Genomic DNA, 22857 nt, shown 5'->3' with positions numbered 1-22857 from the left:
TATGATAAGGTTACAGGTATGGCCACAGGCATGAAGTATTGGGTGGAAGGTATGGTAGAAAAACTTTGGAGATAGAATGTTGGATAGAATGTTGGATAGATTGGTTATGTCATGTCAAAATTCTCAGTGACTGAGGAGTGTGAGTGCTAAATTGAAATTCTATAAACCTAAATGTCAATCAACAGATGAATGGATAAAGAAAACGTGGTACATATAAACAATGGAGTACTATTCATCTATACAAAAGAATGAGATCCAGTCATTTACAACAACATGGATGGATCTGGAGGAGATAATGTTGAGTAAAATAAGCCAGGCACCAAAAGACAAACTTGGCATGTTCTCACTTATTTGTGGGAGCTAAAAATTAAAACAACTGAACCCATGGAGATAAAAGAGTTGAAGGATGGTTGCCAGAGGCTAGGAAAGTTAGTATGGGGTGGGGTGGAGGGAACTGAAGATAATTTAATGGGTTCAAAAATATAGTTCAAAAGAATAAGACCTAGTATTTGCTAGCACAACAGGGTGACTACAGTCAAATAATTTAACTGTACATTTAAAAATAACTAAAAGAGTATAATTGAATTATTTGTAACATGAAGAATAAGTGCTTGAGGTTATGAATACCCCATTTACCCTGATGGTATTAAGATGCAGTGCACACCCATATGAAAACATCTTATGTATCCCATAAATATATCCACCAATGTACCCACAAAAATATAAACAATTTAAACAATTTAAAATGAAATAAAATTGTTTATTTTTATTGGAAAAAAATTATATAAGGTAATATGAATGTCGGAAGAATTTTTTTATTTAACTTTTATTTTAAGTTCAGGGGTACATGTGCAGGTTTGTTATATAAGTAAACTTGTGTCACAGGGGTTTGTCGAACACGTTATTTCGTCATCCAGCTATTCAGCCCAGTACCCATTTTTACTGATCCTCTCCCCCCTCCCTCCCTTCACCCTCTGATAGGTCCCAGTGAGTGTTGTTCCCCCTCTATGTGTCCATGTCTTCTCATCATTTAGCTCCCATTTATAAGTGAGAACACACAATATTTGGCTTTCTGTTCCTGTATTAGTATGCTAAGGATAATAGCCTCCAGCTCCATCCATGTTTGCACAAAGGACATGATCTCATTCTTCTTTAGGACTGCATAGTATTCCATAGTGTATATGTACCACATTTGCTTTATCCAGTCTACCGTTGGTGGGCATTTAGGTTGATTCCATGTCTTTGCTATTGTAAATATTGCTGCAATGAACATATGTGTTTTTATGACAGAACAATTTATATTCCATTGAGAATATACCCAGTAATGGGATTGCTGGGTCAAATGATATTTCTGTTTCTAGGTCTTTGAGTAACTGACATGCTGTTTTCCACAGTAGTTGAACTAATTTACACTCCCACCAACAGCATATAAGCATTCCTTTTTCTCTGCAACCCCACCAGTATCTGTTAATTTTTGACTTTTTAATCATAGCCATTCTGACTGGTGTGAGATGGTATCTCATTGTGATTTTGATTTGCATTTCTCTAATGATCAGTCATATTGAGCTTTTTTTTCGTATGCTTATTGGCTGCATGTAGGTCTTCTTTTGAAAAGTGTCTGTTCATGCCCACTTTATAATGGTTTTTTTTCTTGTAAATTTGTTTAAGTTCCCTATAGATGCTGAATATTAGACCTTTGTCAGATACATAGTATGCAAAAAACTTTCTCCCATTCTGTAAGTTGTCTGTTTGCTGATAGTTTCTTTTGCTATGCAGAAGCTCTTTACTTTAATTAGATCCCATTTATCAATTTTTGCTTTTGTTGCAATTGCTTTTGGCATCTTTATCGTGAAATTTTTGCTGGTTTCTGTGTCGAGAATGGTATTGCCTAGGTTGTCTTCCAGAATTTTTATAATTTTGAGTGTCACATTTAAGTCTTTAATTCATCTTGAGTTAATTTTTGCAGATGGTATAAGGAAAGGATCCAGTTTCAATCTTCCGCATATGGCTATCCAGTTATCCCAGCATCATTTACTGAATAGGAAGTCTTTTCCCCATTGTTTGTTTTTGTCAGCTTTGTTGAAGATCAGATAGTTGTAGGTGTGCAGCTTTATTTCTGGGCTCTCTATTCTGGTCTATGTGTCTGTTTTTGTACCAGTACCATGCTGTTTTGGTTACTGTAGCCCTATAGTATAGTTTGAAGTCAGGTAGCATGATGCCTCCAGCTTTGTGGGGTTTTTGTTCGTTTGTTTGTTTGTTTCTTAGGATTGCCTTGGGTATTTGGGCTCTTTCTTGGTTCCATGTGGATTTTAAAGTATTATTTTCTAGTTCTGTGAATAATGTCATTGGTTGTTTAATAGGAACAGCATTGAATCTACAAATTGCTTTGGGCAGTAGAGCTATTTTAATGACACTGATTCTTCCTATCTATGAGCTTGGGGTGTTGTTTCATTTGTTTGTGTCATCTCTGATTTCTTTGAGCAGTGTTTTGTAATTCTCATTGTAAAGATCTTTCACCTCCCTAGTTAGCTGTATTCTTAGGTATTTTATTTTTTTTTGTGGCAACTGTGAATGGGATTTTGTTGCTGATTGGGCTCTTGCCTTGACTTTTTTTGGTTTAGGAGTGCTACTGACTTTTGTACATTGATTTTGTATCCTGAGACTTTGCTGAAATTGTTTCTCAGCTGAAGGAGCTCTTCCAGCTTTTATCCGTTTGGTATGACGTTGGCTGTGGGTTTGTCAGATATGGCTTTTATTATTTTGAGGTATGTTACTTCCAAACCTAGGTTATTGAGAGTTTTTAACATAAAGGGGTGTTGAATTTTATTGAAAGCCTTTTCTGTATCTATTGAGATAATCATGTAGTTTCTTGTTTAGTTCTGTTTATGTGATGAACCACATTTATTGATTTGCATATGTTGAACCAACCATGCGTCCCAGGGATAAAGCCCACTTGATTGTGGTAAGCTTTTTGATGTGCTGCTGGTTTCAGTTTGCCAGTATTTTGTTGAGGATTTTTGCATCAACATTCATTAAGAATATTGGCCTAATGTTTTCTTTTTTTGCTTTCTTTTTTTGTTGTGTCTCTGCAAGGTTTTGCTATGAGGATGATGCTGGCCTCATAGAATGTTAGGGAGGAGCCCCTCCTCATTAATTTTTTAGAATACTTTCACCAGGAATGGTATGAGATTTTCTTTGTACATCTGGTAGAATTCAGCTGTGAATCCATCTGATCCTGGCCTTTTTTTGGTTGGTAGGTTATTTATTACTGATTCAATATCAGAGCTTGTTATTGGTCTATACAGAGATTCAATTTCTTCTTGGTTTATTCTTGGGAGGATGTATGTATACAGGAATTTATCCATTTCCTCTAGATTTTCTAGCTTATCTGCATAGATGTGCTTATATTATTATCTGATGGTTATTTGTATTTCTGTGGGGTGAGTGATAACATCCCCTTTGTTGTTTCTGATTGTGTTTGTTTGGGTCTCTTTTCTTCATTAGTCTAGCTAGCCATCTATGTAATTTATTAATTTTTTCAAAAAACCAACTCCTGAATTCACTGATCTTTTGAATGGTTTTTCATGCCTGTGTTTCCTTCCTCTGATTTTTGTTATTTCTTGTCTTCTGCTAGCTTTGGGGTTGGTTTTCTCTTGGTTCTCTAGTTGTTCTATTTGCAAGGTTAGATTGCTAAATTGAGATCTTTCTAACTTTTCAATGTGGGCATTTAGTGGTATGATTTCCCTCTTAACACTGCCTTAGCTGTGTCCCAGAAATTCTGGAACATTTTATCTTTGTTCTCATTAGTTTCCAAAAACTTCTTGATTTCTGCCTTAATTTCATTATTTACCCAAAAGTCATTCTGGAGCAGGTTATTCAATTTCCAAGTAATTGTACTGTTTTGATTGAATTTCTTAGTTTGGATTTCTAAATTTGTTGTGCTATGGTCCGAGAAACTGGACCATATAAAAACCAAGAAACTGGTTTTTATGATTGCTGCTCTTTTGCATTTGCTGAGCAGTGTTTTATTTCTGATTATGTGATCAATGTTAAAGTATGTGCCATGTGGCAATAAGAAGAATGTATATTCTGTTGTTTTGGGATGGAGAGTATTGTAAGCGTCTCTCAGGTCCATTTGATCCAGTGCTGAGTGAGTTCAGGTCCTAAATATCTTTGTTAATTTTCTGCTTTGATGATCTATTTACAACTGTCAGTGCAATGTTGAGGTATCCCACTATTATTGTGTGGAAGTCTAAGTTGCTTTGAAGGTCTCTCAGAACTTGCTTTATGAATGTGGCTGCTCCTATGTTAGGTGCATGTATATATAGGATATTTCAGTCTTCTTGAATTGAACTCTTTACCATTATGTAATGCCTTTCTTTGTCTTTTTTTTTAATCTTTGTTGATTTAAAGTTTGTTTCGTCTGAAAGTAAGGTTGCTACCCCTGCTTTTTTCTGTTTTCCATTTGTTTGGTAGATTTTTCTCCATGCCTTTATTTTGAGTGTATGGGTGGCATTGCATATGAGATGGGTCTCTTCAAGACAGCATACCAATGGGCCTTGGTTCTTTATTCAGCTGACCATTCTGTGCCTTTTAATTGAGGCATTTAGCCTGTTACCAAAGGATTTTTATTTAGAGATGAAAATGAATGATCAGGAAGTTGCAGTGGAGAGCTATGATAAACAATACTGCCTCTCATAACTGTGGCATGAAAAAGTAATGAATATTTGCATAAAAGAACAAGTGATAAATGCCTGGGAAAAAGGTTTCTATTAAGGACAGAAAATGGAAGCAGCAATGGACAAAGAAGTTGAAGATATGGAGCAATTTATTTTCCTTCAAATAAGAATTTAAACTAAGAGTTTTAAGGGCATACTGCCTTAGGCAGAGCTTTCCAACCCTGTTCTAGAAGCATGTTTTAGCCATGCCTTGGAGATACTAAGACCTTATAGTTTCCAAAGCCATCCTGAGTTAAACTAAATCCTATTACTTATAGTTGTACTGACACTATGGCCACAATGATGATAATAATATTACAGCATACTCAAACATTTAATTTGGAGCTACTGTTATTTAGTTAGATAAAAACTTAAATTTCTAAAGAGATTAAAGGTCAAAAAATGAAAATTACTCAGATCCACATTACCCAATAACCTCAGCCTAATAATTGGACTCATGGGAGGTACCTAAGACACAGGACCTCCCTCTTTAAGTGCAGTTAAAAGAACTATAATGTGACGTTTGAAGTATACCATTATATTCTACTTATGACACTAACCATTTGGAAAAAGTGGCCAATGAATAAAAGGACACCTAAAAGTTCTCAGGATGATTTTTCCTCCTTCAGTTCAATCTACCAAGCATTTATTGAGTATCTCTTCTTCTTGACACTGGGCTAGGTACTGAATATCCTGAGATGAACATGACTTGTTACGATAAAAATTATGTTTCATTTTATTGTATTATATTGATTTATTATAAATATATTCTAGTGTTAATAATCACAGAATCTACATCATGGAACTCTCTGAACTCATATCAAACAAGGGTAAAGTAATTTGATTGAAGATTTTGCAAGCTACACTGCCACCTATTTGCTAAAATTCTGAAGGACATTCAGAATAAACCTAAAGGAATTCTAGTTCTATATGATTGGGGGTACCATTCTCTCTGTGCTTCATTTCACATCTTTAAAATGGAGATGATAATAATACTAACTTCTAGGTTTGTTGAAATAATAAAAAGCATTTTAGCAATGCACTTACAAATGTTAGTTATTGATTTTTGAAAACCAGCCACAGACCTGGACAGTTTGCCTTGCTACAGTCTATTTTACTGACAGTATGAAAACACATCAAAAGTCGACCATTTGACATTTGCACATCATGGCTGAGCAAAGGCTTAAAACCACAGATAAAATGAGGATGTTATGCTTTAACTTGTAATATACAAAAGATGATTTATTTTCTTTGCTTTCCTTTTATGTCAACAGCTGTATGAAAAAGCCATTGGTCTAAGAAATGTAGAACATCAGCTTTCTGTTGTCTAGCAGGAAACCAGTCAACAGTGGAATAAGGAGGCTTTCTGAAATGTTACTGGGGTGTTGTTGAACCTAAAGTCACAAACGAACTACATTCTTTAGAATCAGCCTTCAAAGACAGAATTTAAATTGGGCAGTTTCACAAAAAGAGGGAAAGAGGAAATTTGGTGTTTTACAAATTTGGGTCAGGACAAATATAGTTAAGATTTAATGTTCATTAAAAGAATAAGTGATAGAATTGGCTAGGGTTCACTCCTGAGTATGAAACAGTTTCTGATAAATTTCTGACTATTTTTACGTATTAATGACATTGGATTTATGTTTTTTTCTTTTCTTTCTCAAGTTAGACACACTTGCAAATCATTTAAAGTATAAAAAGTTATAACTGTGGCCTCCTCTATCAATTTTATGAGTCTTGAAAAAGTTTAATGACATTATTTAACATAAGTAAATGTTTTGTTACTTGACCAAAGCAAACATGATTTTTAGGCCCTTAAAGGCACTCAACATCTCCAATATAAATGTCTTTGCAAAGAAAATACTTTTATAATTCTCTAAATCATCAAGCCCCAAAAATGCTTACTAGAAAAGACAAAACATTCACATGATGCAGCTACGTGTTATCGTTAATGCTCCATAAGAAAATAGGATAAACATTGAAATTTCAGAACAGTTTGAATGGGTAATTTCAAAGTTTGTTTACAGCAGGGCAATTCTTATGTTCAAAGCAAACCTTACAAATAAATCTTGTGTATAAGACAGATACCATTGAAACTGCTCCCTGAAGTCCAGGTACATACTCCCTGGCCTCCAGAAACTAGTGGGAAAGTGATTATTTGAATCCCATTAGTGCCCCAAGATGGGCCACCAGGGCTTTGGAATGTGACAGATAGGTTCCAATCATACCTACACCATTAACTGTAGTTACTTACCTTCTCTAAAACTAAGTTTTTCCATCTAAAAATTAAGATAAACTTACCTCACAAAGGGGTTGTGTAATTTTAAATAAGTTAATGTAAGTAAGGCCTTAATTTCAATTATTTCATGTGATTATAGCAGAGTTCCTGCTCTTTCAGGGGAAGTATATAGTCTAGGAGAGCTGTGGGCCATTCACAATTAGTTTCCCCACCTGTATCTCTATCAATATCTACAGCAGTAAATCTCAAGAAAGGTCTGGCCGCCCAGAGTGGCATGTATCCCACTACCCGCCAGATGGGAACTCCTGGGTTGGACAGTCATGTGGACAAATAAGAGTGCAGCAGAGATGTTAACATGATGAGTGTGACCGCCTTAACCCAGGCTGGAAGCAGAAGGAGGGATGAAGGATGGTGTGCAGCTTCCTAGGTTATTAACTAGGAGAAACAGTGGTGATATCCTGTAGGAAGAGGTTTCTACAATAATGGCAATGAGGTGGGGCACTGGCCAGAAGACAGGAATGGAAACTGAAAGGGATCTGGAGGTGGAAGTTTTGTTGGGAATAGAAAAGACTACAAGCAAAATTTGAATTGAGCATGTTCATTCATATTGTCATCTCCCAGGAATGCAGTCTAGTGAGGCAAATCCACCAAAGTATTATTGATTTCCCCACGTTGATCACTGACTTGGCCTCAAGTGGTGGGGCCACAGGAACATACAGGTGTCAGGAAATGCACCCCTGGCAGAGGTTAATGACTTCCACTTCCAAGGTCTCCCTACTGTCTGCTTGCATTTGACTGTCCTTAGGCTGCAGGTTCTTCAGGCTGAGATATTCTTGTCACTTTCTCCTGGAACAACAGACCCTACATGGCCATTTCTCAACTTTTGTGATCTCCAAGTACAGATGTCTACTAGTTCTTGATTACCTTTTCTTGATATTATTTGAAGTTTGTCTCCTTAGCTAATAAACCCTTTATATTTCTTCTTCGATTAGGTGATCTTTCCAGAAATTTCTTTTTTAAAATATGCTTGTATTCTTACTACTGGAATGCAAATACTTTCTTGATAAACATAAAAAAAATTAGTGAAACTTGAAAATGACAAGTTTCAGAAATTCAGATTTAAGTAAAATAAATACAGACATCTGATTCACAATTCTTGAGAAATACTAATACATTTTTGTAGTTGTGACATCGTGGAGAGATATTTACTTACTTACTTACAAATTACTCAGCTTCCTTTTTTCCCAAGCAGTTTGTGTTATCTCTGAATCTAGATGTCCCAATATTCTGAACAAAATAACTGGAAGTTAAGATTTCAATTCTGTCTTCTAATTTATAAGATTCTTGTGAATATGATTTAAGCTTTATTTAAGAAACTCTATAAAAATCACTAGATGAAATACTTTCTGTATAAGCAAACTAAATAATCTCTAGAAGCTGATGAATAGTTTTTTGTATTCTGGGAAAAGGTCTCCCAAGCTTTTCTTGAAATATTGAAACGCTAAACCTGTTCTTAAAAAAAAAATCATATAAGAAGGCATGCTTTAGAACAGCTAGTTATTGTATGATGTAGTTAAACTCTTTGATTTTGCAAAAGAAGAACAAAAGGAAGGACTTTATCTACTTTAAACATGTAAAACTACAATAACTAAAACAGAAATAACATATGTTAATGGAGGCTAACTCTCCATTGCCTAGATGAGAATCGTTAACTTAGTGCAGCCTACATTTGGCGAACGTGGAGTAGGTACAATCCTGGCTCCCCAGGCTTACAAACTGAGGGATTTAAAGCAATCTATTACATCTCCCTCAATATTAGTTTTCTCATGTATAAGTTGGTTAATAATTACAATCTGCTTGCAAACAAAATGGGATGTTTGTACAATGCCTGGTAAAAATTAAAGATTTAATAAATATTAGCTGTGACAATATTATACATAGTAATTAAGATGAAAAGAAAAAGTTCAAATTAATAAAGAAGGGATGAATTATCAAAAACAAATGACACTAGCAAACTGTTTCTTTTTTTTTGTTGAGACAGAGTCTCACTCTGTTGCCCAGGCTGGAGCACAGTGGGGTGATCTCAGCTCACTGCAACCTCCGCCTCCAAGGTTCAAACAGTTCTCCTGTCTCAGCCTCCCAAGTAACTGGGGTTACAGGTGCCTGCCACCATGCCCAGCTAATTTTTTGTATTTTTAGTAGAGATGGGGTTTTGCCATATTGGCCAGGCTGATCGCAAACTCCTGACCTCAGGTGATCTGTCTGCCTCGGCATCCCAAAGTGCTGGGATTACACGCCCAGCTTCTAACAAATTTTATTTGGAAATACCTTGTTAAACACTTGCCTCACAATAACCACCAAAATAAACTCAAAATTGATTGAAGAATTCCAAGAGGAAAATGTGAAGAACTTTTAGGTAATATTTGTCTAATATTGGAGAGAAAAAACTGTATAAAATGAATGGAAGAAATTGGAAAGAGAAAAATATAGCTTCTCTGTAATAAAAAAGCTATTATAACATTAAAAGACAAGAGAAAAATTGCTAAAAATTATTTGCCACAATATGAAATGATACAAGTCATTATTTTTAATACATAATAAATATCAACAAGTCAATAGGAAAATAAACTCTCCGAAAGAAATATGGCCAGGAACACAAAAAAATCATTAAAAAGTCTAATAAATATATGTAAAAATTATTTATTAGTGATTAAAGAAATTCACTGGTAAACCAGGAAATCCAACTTCAAGGACAAAAAGTTTCATTTTATATTTATCAATATGATGAAATAATTTTGTGGGATTTTTACTTTTCATTTATAGATTTTAAGAGAATACTTAATTCTGGCAAGAGTTTAGGAGATTCCTGGTAAATATGCCTAATGGCCTTCCTCTGGAATGTATTAAGAACTTTAAAATAGTTCATATACTTTAACCCTTTAAGGACTTTAGCCTGAGGAAAACATTGAGACACTGACTGTGATTTTTGTTCTCCAAAGCATTACTCTCAAGCCTCAAATCTCAGACGCAATCTTAACCAGTGTGTCCCAACACCTTCACATCAAAACAAATAAAGGAAATAACAATATTTGTACAGTACACAGTGAACCCAGAATAGGCTGCTTGCACGGAATGAAAGTTCAACCAGTTACCAGAAGGACTGGAACGCTGAGGTCCCAGCATTTCTGTCACCAATCCCAATGATCAGTAGCCTGGGACAAACTATTTGGGAATATCCAACCTAAAAGCCTAACATTAAATCACGTATGGCAACTCTATGTTATGATTTAACACCAAAATTAAAGTCTTAAACTTTTAAAAGGTGAATAATAAGAGGCTACTTGGTCTAATTGGTACTAAAACAGATAAGGCTGCAATAATGCACAGCCATTAGAATTAGACTAATAGATAGTTTTATGTAAGAATATGCTTATTGCGTTTAGCTTGTAAGATAGATGTAATTTTTTTTTTAACTTTCAGAATAACAAAACCATAGTGGGAAAAAAGAATATGCTTATGATATAATGTAAATTAAAGAAAAGCAGAATGTAAGGCTTTTCATATTCAATTTTAAAGAGTTTAATTTCTGAAAAAGGAATTTTCATTCGATATAACCTAACAGTCAACATCCTTTCAATATAAACATATAAACATAATCATTTTCCAAATGTTCTTTTAATATACATATTAGGTCAACATAATATCAGGAATATAAAGTATTTTTTTGGTTTGTTTGAGTCAGCACACTTTTCAGATTCAGAACACAAATATGGTCACTTTTTACAATAAGCAGAAATATGATCTTGATTAGATGAATGTGGTTAAAAGGTAAAAAAGAACCCTGCAAATGTGTAAGCTTCTGTAGGGAAGCACTCAAAATCCACCATTTTATGTAATCTATGTAGTTTTCGTAGCTGAAGAAGGAGAGGAACATGTAAAGGAAATGCCCTTGTGGGTAATTTAATGTTTTTCCATTTCCACAAGGGATTGGATATTAATGTGTTTCCCAGCACACATCCTGCACAAGTCATAGTCAGAGCTATAAGGCTTTACCTCGAAACACAAACATAATCCATATTACTTTTTTTCTCTTCAGCCCATTTCTACTGCAATCTAATGAAATTTGCAGGAGGTGACAATCACTTTAGTAAAGAATTAGCAATAACTTCAAAATACCGAAAATGTAAAAATATAGTTTCCTTTCTGCTCATCACGTTCAGAACAGACTCATGACTGGGATCTCATGCTGTCATACATCTCCTTGGGTATTATTTGCCTAGAAATTAATTATACTTGCTCTGCATCAATGTATATTAGGCCACACTCCCTTCCCATTATTTTAAAAATTAAAGGCAGAATTTAACTGATACCACAAAATAATGTCATACTTTTATTAATGGAGAAACAGTAAAATTATGTTAAGGGATTGAATTAATTACCAAAACCATAATCAATGTTTAAACATTTATTAGATCACACTTTATCATCTCAGGCCATTTTTTCCCTATGCAAATGTAACATTTAGAAGTTACATTTTCAAACTCATAGATGTTTTAAAAAATAATATTTGCATAGGTCTGGGCAAATATTTTCATCCTTAACATGTCAGAAATCAACAGACCTGAAATGTCAAAAGGAAAAATCCCACCAGATCCCAAAATTTGGTTAGATAACTTGCCTACTATGGCACTTAATTTTGAGCAGCTTTATTGGCATCTTAGCTGATGAGTCATAAAAGCCAAGGGAAATTCCACAGGCCAGAAGGAAAAAGAAATAGCAAAAACCTTTAGGACTGAGCAAAATATGTACTAGTCACTGTTCTTTAACATAAATTTCATTGCTACAATTAGCCGCCAGCAATTTGCCAACACTATCTTTCAAGGGACAAAATTCATCATAATTTATTACTTCTATTTGGTGAGATTATAATGAACATTCATTTCTTTTTCATTTTGCAAGAGTCCAAGTTGAAACATGTTTAATCTTAATTCCATAAATGCTAGCTGTGTGCCTAGTTTTCCATTATAGATGGACATTGCAAGAAAAATTGCAAGTTGTTCATTAATTCATTCACTCAACTTTGCTTCTATTGCTCAACTATTTAAACCAATTTACATAAAATCACAAGCCCTCTAAAATATGTGCAACAATTTATGTACCATAAAATTATACTTGAGTATGAAAAATAATCTGGAACATGTTTTATTGGAAACATTTAAAATGTTAAGTTGTGAGTATAATGAAACAGACAAAATGTTTCTGTGGGCAGGGTTGCGTGTACAGTGTAGCAATATTAATAAGAAAGGAGATATAAAGCAGGAATATGTATAGGTAAATACATAATGTAAAGGTCCACTAAAGAACTATTCCTCACCCATGTTTTATACAAGAATTATATGAGTACAATTTTTTATGCTTCCTGTCAAGCCTAAGTGTGATTTTATAATTTTCTTTCAAGTGTATAGATTTTTAAAAATTATTTTTGACAAATCTCACCTGGAATCAAATGTATAGATCTTTTTATGCATGCCTTACAACAGAAGAGGTAAAGATCTGGGAAAGAAGAAATGCGATAGAGGAATGAATCTCCAAGAAGACACAGTATTTGGCCTGAAAGTAGTATGTATGTTTCTGGAGGAAAGAAATAAAAGGCATTTGTGCAACTTGCATATTGAGAAATGTCATATGACTTCAGCAGATTGCCAAAGTTTCTTTAAGTCTTAGCAGGCAATGTTCATTGTGTATAATTGAATTCCTCTTTTAACATAATTCCCAAAAGCATCCAGGATTTATTATAAGAGGATTCCACTCTGCTAATTAACATTCAGTCAGTGAATAGAAATACAGGAGGGACTCTGCTGACTTATGTACTGCATTGGCCAAATAAAAAAATTAAAAATTAACAAAAAGTAATTATCTAATTCTTTCTTGTAAAAAGAAATTCATTTAGGAGCAATGCTCTTGCTGTCCAATCTTTCTGAAATTATACATCAGTTGTATGTGTTAGAGAAGATATATGCATAGATGCTTCATCTTCATGTTTTCCAATTATAGTTGTGAAAAGAGTATATTTGCATCTTATCCAAATTCATTATTTTTTAAGTTTCTATCCATGGGACCTTGGGAAATATGGCATATGTGAGAAATTTCAATGTCACACAATCAGATCCAAACTTCACTACTTGTGAGTAGAAGTAGAAAGAATCAGGAAGAGTGAAAAGGGTAAAAGCCATTCATTTGTTCCTACAGCAACAATAAACAGAATGTTGCATATACTAATCAACAAAACACAATGATATGGTTTGGCAGTGTCCCCACTGAAATCTCAACTTGAATTGTATCTCTCAGAATTCCCACATGTTGTTGAAGGGATCAAGGGGGTGGTTATTGAAACATGGGGGCTGGTCTTTCCCATGCTATCCTTGTGATAGTGAATAAGTCTCATGAGATCTGATGGGTTTATCAGAGGTTTCCACTTTTGCTTCTTCCTTATTTTCTCTTGCCACTGCCATGTAAGAAGTGTATTTCACCACCTGCTATCATTCTGTTCCCAGCCTTGGTTATGTTTTTATCAGCAGCGTGAAAACAGACTAATACAGTAAATTGGTACCAGTAGAGTGGGGCATTGCTGAAAAGATACCTGAAAATATGGAAGCGACTTTGGAACTGGGTAGCAGGCAGAGGTTGGAACAGTTTGAAGGGCTCAGAAGAAGACAGGAAAATGTGGGAAAGTTTGGAACTTTCTAGACACTTGTTGAATGGCTTTGCCCAAAATGCTGATAGCGACATGGAAAATAAAATTCAGTGTGAGATGGTCTCAGATGGAGAAGAGAAACTTGTTGGGAACTGGAGCAAAGGTGACTCTTGTTATGTTTTAGCTAAGAGACTGGCAGCATTTTACCCCTGTCCTAGAGATTTGTGGTACTTTGAACTTGAGAGAGACTATTTAGGGTATCTGGAGGAGGAAATTTCAAAGCAGCAAAGTATTCAAGATGTAACCTGGGTGCTGTTAAAGGCATTCAGTTTTATAAGAGAAGCAGAGCATAGAAGTTTGGAAAATTTTGCAGCCTGACTATGTGATAGAAAATAAAAACCCATTTTCTGGGGAGAAATTCAAGTTGGCTGCAGAAATTTGCATAAGTAGCAAGGATCCTAATGTTAATCCTCAAGACAAAATGTCTCCAGGCCATGTCAGAGAACTTCTCGGCAGCCCCTCCCATCACAGGCCCCACAGGCCCAGGAGGATGGGCTGGGCCTAGGGTCCCTATGCTGTGTGCAGCTTAGGGACTTGGTGCCCTGTGTCCCACCTGCTCCAGCCATGGCTGAAAGGGGCTGATGCACAGCTCAGGCTGTGGCTTCAGAGGGTGGAAGCCCCAAGCCTTTGCACCTTTGTGGTGTTGAGCATGTGGGTGCACAGAAGTCAAGAATTGAGGTTTGGGAACTTCTGCCTAGATTTCGGAAGATATATGGAAACGCCTGGATGCCTAGGCAAAAGTTTGCTGCAGGAGCAGGGCCTGTATGGAGAACCTCTGCTAGGGCAGTGCAGAAGGGAAATGTAGGGGTGGAGCCCCCACACAGAGTCCCTACTGGGGCACCACATAGTGGAGCTGTGAGAAGAGGGCCACGGTCCTCCAGATCCGAGCATGGTAGATCCACTGACAGCTTGCGCCATGCTCCTGGAAAAGCCACAGCCACTCAATACCAGCCCATGAAAGCAGCCAGGAGAGAGGGTGTGCCCTGCAAAGCCATAGGGGTGGAACTGCCCAAGACCGTGGGAACCCACCTCTTGCATCAGTGTGACTTGGATGTGAGACCTGGAGTCAAAGGAGATCATTTTGGAACTTTAAAATTTGACTGCCCCGCTGGATTTTGGACTTGCATGGGCCCTGTAACCCCTTTGTTTTGACCAATTTCTCTCATTTGGAATAGCTGTATTTACCCAATACCTGTACCCCCATTGTATCTAGGAAGTAACTAGCTTGCTTTTGATTTTACAAGCTCATAGACAGAAAGGACTTGCTTTGTCTCAGATGAGACTTTGGACTGTGGGCCATCAGATTATTGCTGAAATTAGTTAAGACTTTGGGGCACTGCTGGGAAGGTGTGATGATTGGTTTTGAAATGTGAGGACATGAGATTTGGAGGGGCCAGGGGTAGAATGATATGGTTTGGCTGTGTCCTCACCCAAATCTCAACTTGAATTGTAAATCCCAGAATTCCCGTGTGTTGTGGGAGGGACCCGGGGGAGGTTATTGAATCATGGGGGCCAATCTTTACTGTGCTATTCTCGTGATAGTGAACAAGTCTCATGAGATCTGATGGGTTTATCAGGGGTTTCCGCTTTTGCTTCTTCATTTTCTCTCTCTGCTGCCATGCAAGAAGTGTCTTTCACCTCCCACCATGATTCGGAGCTCTCCCCACCCATGTGGAGCTGTAAGTCCAATTAAACCTCTTTTTCTTCCCAGCCTTGGATATGTTTTTATCAGCAGCATGAAAATGAACTAATACACACAACATCTGGCAAGATTAAAAATAACCAAATTTACCTCCAATCTAGCTCAGCAGACACTTTATCAAGGTAATTCCAGAATTACCAGAGTCTCTAACTTTTGGATTAAGCTTGTCACAGATATTTTTTTCTTAGACACATACATTTTTCCCTTTTGCTTTCTTTCTCAGTAGTTTCCCCATCCCAGGACCTCTTTCCATACTGCTCTGGTTTCTCAGAGTCCTCCAATTCCGAAAAACCTGAGCAAGGCTTATCTCTTATGCTGAAATGTACGGATCCCTTTCTCTCATGAAAAACTACCTGTTCTGATCCAGTCCCCTCAAGACTGTTGCTTTTCACTATCTACTTAATCTGGCGAATAATTCTACCTTTGATATTGGTGACCAGGCATGGTGGCTCAGCCTGTAATCTCAGCACTTTGGGAGGCCGAGGCGGGCGGATCACTTGAGGCTAGGAGTTTAAGTCCAGCCTGACCAACATGGTGAAACCTGGTCTCTACTAAAAATACAAAAATTAGCTGGGTGTGGCGGCGTGCGCCTGTAATCCCAGACACTAGGGAGCCAGAGCCATGAGAATTGCTTGAACCCAGGAGGCGGAGGTTGCAGTGAGCTGAGATCACACCACTGCACTCCAGCTTGGGTGACAGAGTGAGACTCCAACTTAAAAAAATAAAAAATAAAAATAAAAAAATAAAAAAAGATATTGGCTACTGATAATAGCCTAATACTTATCTCCTTTTCATTACAGGTGTTAACAGTGACTCAGTGCCTAAATACAAATTTGCAAATAAGTACCAATTGTACGGATCCCAACAAGTTCTATGAAAGACAGTTTGGGCACTGGGAACCATGAGTTTTTGTCCTGCCCTGTCTATGTGACCTGGGACAAATCACAAGATCTTTTGGAAGCTCAGTATGCTCATCTGAAGCTAAGTAAGCACTACTTCACAGCAAAGTGGTCAGGATAAAGTGATAAGCCACGGAAATGACAAAATTCAGACACCATTGGTATAAAATATGTGAAGCACTTAATAATTAAAAAGTGCTGTACAAATATGTGATATCATCCTAGTCAATTTTATGTATTTCCTCAAGTAGATAAAACTCTCCAGGAGGATAATATACCAAAAGCATAACTTTTAGTAAACCCTGGGCATTTTAGGAAACCTTTTTTACAGAAGACTTTTTAATTTTCTTTTCTACTTTAAGTAAGAAATGATGACCAGTTACATAAAATCTTATGAGAGTCAGATTATAATGAGCTAGTCATTACTGACTAATGAATACAATAACTTAAAAAATTTACAAGGAAAAAAGAAAAAAGTCAGTAAGACATTTACTATCAATGGTCTTTCTTAATTATCTTCATCTTCCCTTAACACCCATATGTTTATTTAATACTTTTACAGCAAAATAGATTTTTTTAAGATAAAGGAAGCTCATTCCTGTAATCCCAGCATTTTAGGTGGCCGAGGAAGGAGGATTGCCTGAATCCAGGAGTTCAAGAGCAGCCTGGGCAACATAGCTAGATTCTGTCTCTACAAAAAAATAAAATTTTGCCAGGTGTGTTGGTGCACACCTGTAGTCCCAGCTACCCAGGAGGCTGAGGTGCTGAGGTGGGAGGAATGCTGGAGCCCAGAAGGTCAAGGCTGCAGTGAGCTGTGATAGCACCACTGAATTCAGCCTGGGCAACAGAGCTAGACTCTGTCTCAAAAAAGAAAAAAAATAAGAAAGCCATAGAAATTATGCAATCCAAAATCATCGACATTAAGTGTTCATCAATCATTGATCTAAAATAATGTATTATATTTATGAAGCTAAGAGGTCATAATCAATACCTGCCTATTTGGTATTTTCTTTTCATGGTTGTCTTTTTGTTGGTTTACTAAATGGCTTTACCTGACAAATACAGTTTTAACCTGCATAGGCTGTATATATACCAAGAGGCAGTCCAGAAAAGAGAGAGCAGAGAGGGAGAGGGAAATTCCAGAAGAACGACTTGCTTATTTGGAGGAGGATAAAACTTCAAATATAAATGTTGCCTCCACGTCACTTAAATATTCACAAAATATTCAAGAAATATTCCAAGCACAGGGTAAGCCACTAGGAAAAAACAGTTTCCAAGAGTCTGTTCCTCACTTATTAATATACAATATTCAACATGGAAAGTTAGCAAATAGAGACAGCCTGTGTTGAAACTACCTTAAATGGTTTTCAACATTTGTGGCATATTTATATTTGTACAGGATATGACTCAAAATTTGCTTTGAAGTATTTTGTATTTCTTACGGTAATAAAGAAAAAGAGTTTCTTTGTTCCAATTCTTCATAATATTTAGATAAAATCACAATTTTCTTCTTGATTTACTAAAAATACTATCCCAAGAAATACTACAGAAGTTTTTTTTAGAAACTCTATATCTAAAATATCTTCATTTTAACAAAATTAACTTTTAATTTAACCCATGCTTTCCTCATAATAAAAGCAGCTACCATCTAGAAATTGTCTGCTTCAGGGTCCTGACATTCACTCATTTATTCATGTATTGTTTTATTCCACTTAATTCCAAAAAGATTTAAATGTGTAATATGATATTAACTGGAATTGGATAATTTTTAATGCAAAATCTAATGAATGTAAATAAAAACAAACAAAGTTGACCTATAACAAACTTTTGCATTGGGGAAGCAGTATGTGAACACAGTGGAAAAAAGCAAAGATCTCTAAGAACCCATTTGAAATCACTCATGAAAACTTCGGTCAAATAAAGCTAATTTCTTTTTTCTTTGCATTTTTATGTATTATTAAGGAAGCCAAATACTAAAGACAGGATATATCTTGATGGGAGAAAATGATTAGAAGAAGAATCTAATGGTATATGTTTAGGCCTGAGGGACAAATATGGACTTTGTGGAATTCACAGCTGATAAACCTTTGCAAAAAGTGAAGAATGACAGATTATTACAACCTGAAGGACAACATAACATCATGAGGTTATGGAGAAATACTAAAGTTTATAAATGGCAGAACATTTCTTAAAAAATAAAATTAATGCAACAGTAGGTTATAATCACCAAATAATATTTTTTCCAACCACATACTTCATTGTACTCTATGTGAGAACATTATTTGGAACCCTAGCTTTGGTTGTGGCATAACTCACATGTTACAGGGGACTTGGCAAACAAGGATATGTTCAGAGAAAGCATCAAGGTACTGAAATTTTTTGAAACTACACAATGTAAGCATTGGTTAAAAGAATGGACTATGCTTTGACTTAAAAATTTAAGTCTCATTTGGGACATGCTCGTAGCTTCTAATATCTGAACATCAGTTAATTGTAAAAAGGATTAGGTTTAAGCTATCACTCCACGAGTAAAACTAGGACCAATGTTTGTGAGGAATGGAAGACAACATCTAACAAACAGGAATAAACTGTTTCTACAAGAAACAGACAAGCACTAAAAATATTAAGGATGTACAGTAGAAGGAAAATTGACTAGTCCCCAACTCCTGATATCACTGTTTTTTAACTTTAGGACCTTGGTTTAGTTCCTTAGCTTCTCTGAATTTCTGTTTCCTTATCTATAGGTTAGATATCTCTGCATTGAATAGAGGAGTGAAAATATCCTGTTGAAAATGCCAAGGTAAGAGATGGGAAATGCTGAACTGGATGGTTACCATGGTTTTTTCTATTTCTAAGATTTTACCATTTTACAGTAAAGGAAAATATAATAGTTTTCATCTCATGGTGAGGAATTATTGCTAAACTATGCATTCAACATACATATATATGTATGTGTGTGTTTCATATTATGGGCCTACTGTGTGTAGGTACTCCTCTAGAGATGTGGAAGTGAAAAAAATGTACAAAAATTCTTGCCCTGCTAGACCTTATATTATAGTGGAAAGAAATGGACAGTAAAACAAATAAGTAAATTGTATCACACAGTAGAAATCATAAGTACTGTATAAAAAATAAAGAAGGGAAATGCAAAATTTTAAATAGGGTCTGGGAAAATAACATCTGAGCAACGATACATTGATTTTGTCAGTAATTTTAAAAATTAATTTTATTATGAAGTTCATTGGAAAACTTGGTGCCTTTTACCAAATCCTATGATCTGAATAATGTTTTAAATCATGTAATCTCGTCACAGAGTGTTATGGGTTGAACTGTGTCCTCCTAAAATTTCATATGTCGAATTCCTAGCCCAAGTACCTCAGAATGCATTTGGAGATAAGGTCTTTAAAGAGGTAATTAAGTTAAAGGAGGTTATTAGGGAGTCCCTCATCCAATATCACTGGTGACATTTGTGATGTATCACTGGTGTTAAGTGCTTAGGACATAGACATGTACAAAGGGAAGAAGCTGTGAAGACTCAGGGAGAAGACATTTATCTGCAAGGTAAAAAGGGAGACCTCAGAAGCAAGCAGCCCTGCCAACACTTTGATCTTTGATTTCTGCCTCCACAACTTTGAGAAAATAACTTTTTGTTATTTAAGCTACCCAGTCTTTGCTACTTTGTTATGGCAGCCCTAGCAAATTAATACAGAGAATATAGACACATACAAACCCAGTCCAAATATTACATTTAAGATAAAGCGATTGCATTAGCTATTTTTATAGAAACTAAAAAATTTTATGAACTTTAGAATTTGTAAAAAATTTATTTTTATTTAGAATTTATATAGAATTTCAGGTTTTTTCTATTTATTCTTTTAACCTTAAATTGCATTAAAAATCTTAAACCTAATGGTTCTCTCCCAAAATACTGTATTGAAGATATATAGTTTAACAAACATATTACAAGGACTTCACTACTAAGAATAGCATAAGTCACATATAAACTTTCAGGATATGCAAAATATTTGTTTTACTACCAAGGTAAGTATAGTTAAACTTATTGAAGTTTCACATGGCAGCTCATAACCTTTTAGCATGCTCACATGCACAAGCAAGCAGTTAATAACACCAGAACTTCACTTTTCCCATCTAGTTCAAGTCTTCTTCCCCAACTGTTGAAACAACTTAGAACAGCCTAATTAATCAGTAAGAAAGCTGGCTTTATTATATTTTATTTAGATTTACCTACTAGTAATTTAAATTAGTTTTAGCAATTAAAAAAAATAAGTCAATGAATATACTTACAGGTCCTGTTAGTTTAGATGCTTTCTCAAATTCGTCACCCTCCTCCATTAGTGCTTCTTCAGTCCCAGGCAAGGAATCTATTTTTATTTTTAAAAAATGAATAAATTATACTCACATATTGCTTATTAATTCTCTGATATATAAACCTGTTGTGAGAAGAATAAAATGATGGAATTGGGTGTTGAAAAAATCATAGTGTTTGTGAGTTAAAATAGAACGTGAAATAATATTTAGCTTAAAAACAACTTGTGAAAAATGATAAGTATTTTTAATTTAGAAGGGCACAATAATGTCAGGAATGGGCAAGAGCCACAGTTATCTTAGTTATACAAATAAAGCAAGATATTTTGGCATATTATCCAGCTAATTGTTGGAACATAATTATATTTAATGCCCTGTTTCTCTTTTATAATTTCATGATTATTTCTTTTATCTATCAATTGTCTCCTTTTGGGGGGTTACACAATTTGAGTAATATTTTGTGCTCTCTCTTTTAGATGGAATGGAACATTCTGAAAAAAGTTCAGAGAGGGGCGCATATTATTAAATGGTGATTGGTTTTCCATTTCAACGTATGAAGGAAGAAGTTGCAATTAGCCTGAATTGAATATATTGAGGGGTGGGTGAGTAGTGGCTTTCAAATATGTGAAAACAATGATGCAACCTTTTTCATATGTCTTCTGACATTATAACAACCACCAGAACAACAAGGATTTCTATGGGTTATAAAGAATTCTGTGATAGGGATAGGTAAATGGAGCAACTAGAAATAATCTGTGCTGAAGAATGTTGACTTCCTTAGTTGAGTTTGAACTCCTTCTTTTCAAATTAAAAAAAAAAATCAGTTAAGAGAAAGGTATTTTAAACCACTGGATTTAAAAATTAATTTCTTATATTTATTAATACTTGAGGGAGTCATATAAAGCCCTAAATATTTTCCTTTAGCTTTATGTACATATGGAGACAGATTTTTCTGTTGCATAAAATGTATACTCTGTAAAGAGAATTAGAGCATGAAATCTTTCAAACCCTTAATGGCCACTGAACACCAGGGAGATAATGGAAAGCTTAGCCCAAATCCATAATAAATCATAGCTTTTGAATCATGGAGTGCTCTCTATCTCTGATAACTCAGAATTTTACATTCAAGAAGACAAGTTTCTAAATTCTGGGGCACACAGTTTATGTAGATGTAAATGTGGATTTTGTTTTAAAACACAGAATACCTTCCACCATAAAACTGACTTCGGGAGAGACATATCATTCTCAAATTATAGGTGAATTTAAAGATTTTACTTACTACTTTTCCTGACAGAACATAGATATTAAAAATAAGCAAGTTTTAGTGGATAAAATCAGGAGAATTATACCAAATGCAAAACTATTAATCCACTTGTAAAGAATACTTGAAGCTCTAGCTCCCAAAACCCAATTGTAAAGCTGACAATAAATTTGTTAAATTAGGTTGTAAATTAAGCATAATTTAAGTCCTCCAAAACTGAATTATATTCTGCAGAACTGTGAGCAAATGCTACTATAATTTTAGTATTCACTCAGTATGTTTCTTGTTTTGCTTGTGTATTGAAGTTCTTATTTCAGTAATCTATTGACTTAATAAATAAATAACATTAAAATGTTCTATTCTACATTACACAGCAAATTATTTTCATATATAGGACAGTAAAATCCACCTTCTCATGGATTTGCTAATTTTTTCAAAGTTAGAAATACTATAAATAAGTTCTCAAGCTCTTCTCCATGAGTAGTTAATGGTTTTTAATAGATGTCATTCTGCTTGATTATTTATGTATTCATTCATTCATACATTTATTGTATTGTATATTTGTGTATTCATTTATTCAACAAATACTATATGGCAAGCACTGTATTAGGTGCTTTTAAAATAAGTTGAATATTTTCTATGACACTTTCTTTCATGAAATTTACTTGAACACATTTACAGGGCAGTATTAACTTTTTAACAAAGATGAACATTTATAAAGCAAAAGTATTAGTAACTTTGTATGATTTACATTTTGTTTGGTTTCATTTTTGTTGAATTCTCCCTGGTTATTGGTACCATATCCAGAAAGATCTATAATATAGTAATGCCCATTGAGCTTAGGATGAAGGGACAACTATAAGTACTGCCAGAACATTTGAGAGTTTACATAACTACCGTTTTTAAAAGTTATGAAGTCAAATGGATACTGCCAAATAGCCCAAATCTAATAATAGGG

The 22857-nt window shown here is 35.1% G+C and overlaps 1 protein-coding gene across 9 annotated transcripts in view; it reads right to left on the bottom strand.

Moving 5' to 3' along the window:
• Window positions 1-22857, bottom strand: part of C8orf34 (chromosome 8 open reading frame 34) — a 488651-nt gene that overhangs the window by 76969 nt on the left and 388825 nt on the right. For all 9 annotated transcript variants that reach the window (NR_146186.1, NR_146187.1, XM_047421328.1 and 6 more), the window contains one exon: window positions 20618-20694. Coding sequence is in view for 7 of the 9 variants with exons in the window: in XM_047421328.1 (XP_047277284.1) it covers window positions 20618-20694 (77 nt within the window). In the remaining 2 variants the exon portion in view is untranslated. The remainder of the gene's footprint in view (window positions 1-20617; window positions 20695-22857) is intronic.

This window comes from Homo sapiens, chromosome 8, assembly GCF_000001405.40.
Source record: "Homo sapiens chromosome 8, GRCh38.p14 Primary Assembly".
In the NCBI taxonomy this organism is placed as follows: Eukaryota; Metazoa; Chordata; class Mammalia; order Primates; family Hominidae; genus Homo; species Homo sapiens.
Note: the sequence above shows the minus strand (reverse complement) of the source record. Positions and strands in the feature narration are given on the sequence as shown.